Source organism: Homo sapiens, chromosome 2 (genome assembly GCF_000001405.40).
Source record: "Homo sapiens chromosome 2, GRCh38.p14 Primary Assembly".
Classification (NCBI taxonomy): Eukaryota; Metazoa; Chordata; class Mammalia; order Primates; family Hominidae; genus Homo; species Homo sapiens.
Genome location: NC_000002.12, coordinates 150,034,593 through 150,037,099, shown reverse-complemented (window position 1 = coordinate 150,037,099; position 2,507 = coordinate 150,034,593). Strand labels below are relative to the sequence as shown.

Here is a 2,507-nt window from a genome sequence, read left to right as displayed (position 1 = left end):
TCCGGTCTGGTGGTGATGAATTCTCTTAGTGTTTTGTTTGTTTGTTTTGTGATTTTGCCTGGGAAAGATTTTATTTCTCCTTCATTTATGAAGCTCAGTTTGATGGGATATGAAATTCTTGCTTGGCATTTCTTTCAGGAGGCTCAAAATAGGCTCCCAGTCTCTTCTGACTTGTAAGGTTTCTGCTGAGAAGTCCACTGTTAATCTGATAGGATTTCCTTTATAGTTAATTTGGCCCTTTTCTCTAGCTGCTTTTAAGATTTTTCCTTTCACTTTCACCTTGGATAGTCTGATGACTATGTGCCTTTGGGATAATTGTCTTATGTAGTATCTTGCAGGTGTACTCTGAATTTCTTGTATCTGCATGTCAACCTTTCTTTCAAGATTGGAGAAATTTTCCTGAATTATGACCTGAAATATGTTTTCCAATTTACTTAGTTTTTGTTGTTCTCTCTCAGAAATGCCAATACACTGTAGGTTTGGCTGCTTTACATAATCCCACAGTTTCTGAAGCTTTGCTTTTGTCTGACTGGGTTAATTCAAAAAACTGGTCTTCAAGTTCTACAATTCTTTCTTCTGCTTGGTCTTGTCTGTTGTTAAGGCTTCCAACTGTGTTTGAAATCCCTGTCATGAATTTTTCAATTCCAGAATTTCTGTTTGGTTCTTTCTTAATATAGCTATGTTGTCTTTCATATCTTGGATCTTTCCTCTGGATTTTTTGTATTGGATTTCAACTTTCTCTTGGATCTCATTGAGTGTCTTTGCCAACTATATTTTGAATTCTATATCTGTTCATTTCAGACATTTCAATCTGGTTAAGGTCCATTGCTAGGGAGCTAGTGTGATCCTTGTGAAGTGACGAAACACTCAGGCTTTTTGTATTGCTGGTGTTCTTGCACTGATTCTTCCTCATCTGAGGAAGCTGATGCTTCTTTTTGTGAATATGCTATCAGTTGGATAGGACTTTTTGAGTTTTAAATTCTTTTTTTTCCCTTGAGTTTATGACTGTGGTGTATGTTGTGTATGATTGATTGGCTTTGTTTCTGGGTGCTTTCAGAGTGTCAAGGCTCTGTACAGGTTCCTTGGTTGCAGATAAGTTTGTGCAGTGGCTTTTTCAGGTACTGCTTGTTGAAGCAATGCATTTTTTTTTTTTTTTGGTTGTGTAATTCAGGATGCAGTGCAATAGATGGCCCTTAATGTAACCACCATCAGGTAGACTCTCAGCATATGCTTGCCCTCAGTGGGGGCAGAGCTGCTAAAAACCACAGAAAATACCCTCCTCCAGTGTGCCCTTGCTTGCAGTGGGTGTAGAGCCACTGGATAAGTACAAAAAGTCCCTCCTTCCAGCGCATGCTCAACAGTCCCCAGTGGGAATAAACACTGCCATGTCTGCAACAGTGCACTGGGGAGGGGCACAGGAAATAAGAGATGACCCCCTCTTCGTGTCTGTTCCTGGGCTTTGGTGCCAGCAGTTGGCACCGCATCCATGTTTCCTGTGGCCCAGGGGGGCTTTGGTGGGCTGCAGTCCCCCTCCCTTAGGGGAAGTTCACACTAAGGGTTAGATCTCCAAGGGACCCACAACTCCCAGAGGATCCGCTGGTTCCCTGGCCTTGCCAAAGTCAGAGCGGGTTGTGGCACACATCTATGGGCAGCCTGCTGGTGCTATGGCTCAAGAGTAGAAGATACGCAGGGAGGAGAGTGGCACCATGGGTACACAGCCAGTATGCTGCCCATTGTTTCAGTCTGTGTGTGACAGGAGTGTGGCATGGCTATACGAGCTGGTCACCCAGTTCTCTATTCCCGGGAAGATCTCTAATTGCCACCGATAGTGTTGCCCTTGGTTGTGGGGGCACAGGCACTCCTCAAGTAGGCTCTGCACTTAGCAGAGTGTCAGAAGGGTGAGAGAAGCAGAGAAGTGTTTCCACATACATTTTCCACTGGGCTCTGAGCTCCTCAGGGTTCTATCTCAGCAGACTTTTACTGCTTTTTTTCACTGTTTATCCCAGCATCTTTGCATGTGCTCTCTGGTGGGTCCTAGCTCTCCTCCCTCCGTTTTCCACTCAAAACTTAGCAATTCACTAATAACTTTAATCTTCCTTCTGAGGAACTAGTATACAATGTCCCTAGTCAGTCATCTTGAAGAGAAAAAAAAAAAAAGCATAATTGTTTTAAAGCCTGTTTTTGATGACTCTAATATCTGGAGCCCCTGTGGTTGCTCAGTTCCGTTTCTATTTGTCGTTTACTCATCTTGGCTTGTTTTTTTAAAAGTGTGTTGTTACTTTGGTTTGTTGCTAGTCATTGTATTAGCAAAATATTTTGCAGAAATAATTTGAGGCCTAAATGACATTATATTCTACCCTGCTAGGTCCCTCTGATCCCATCAATCCAATTTCAGGAATCAAGATCATTAAATACTATGCTGTGGTCTTCAGTACAACCGTCTACTTGCAATTTACTATAATTCCGAGGATTCTGATGTTTCTGATTCCAATGGCCTGCAAAGGACT

General features: G+C 42.5%; 1 annotated feature.

The window, feature by feature from the left end:
* Positions 1,137-1,637: an enhancer, noted in NCBI's record as "H3K27ac hESC enhancer chr2:150891977-150892477 (GRCh37/hg19 assembly coordinates)". NCBI's record gives its function as "activates a minimal SCP1, AML or CMV promoter by ChIP-STARR-seq in primed H9 embryonic stem cells {active_cell/tissue: H9 hESC(primed)}" and the evidence as "EXISTENCE:reporter gene assay evidence [ECO:0000049][PMID:30033119]".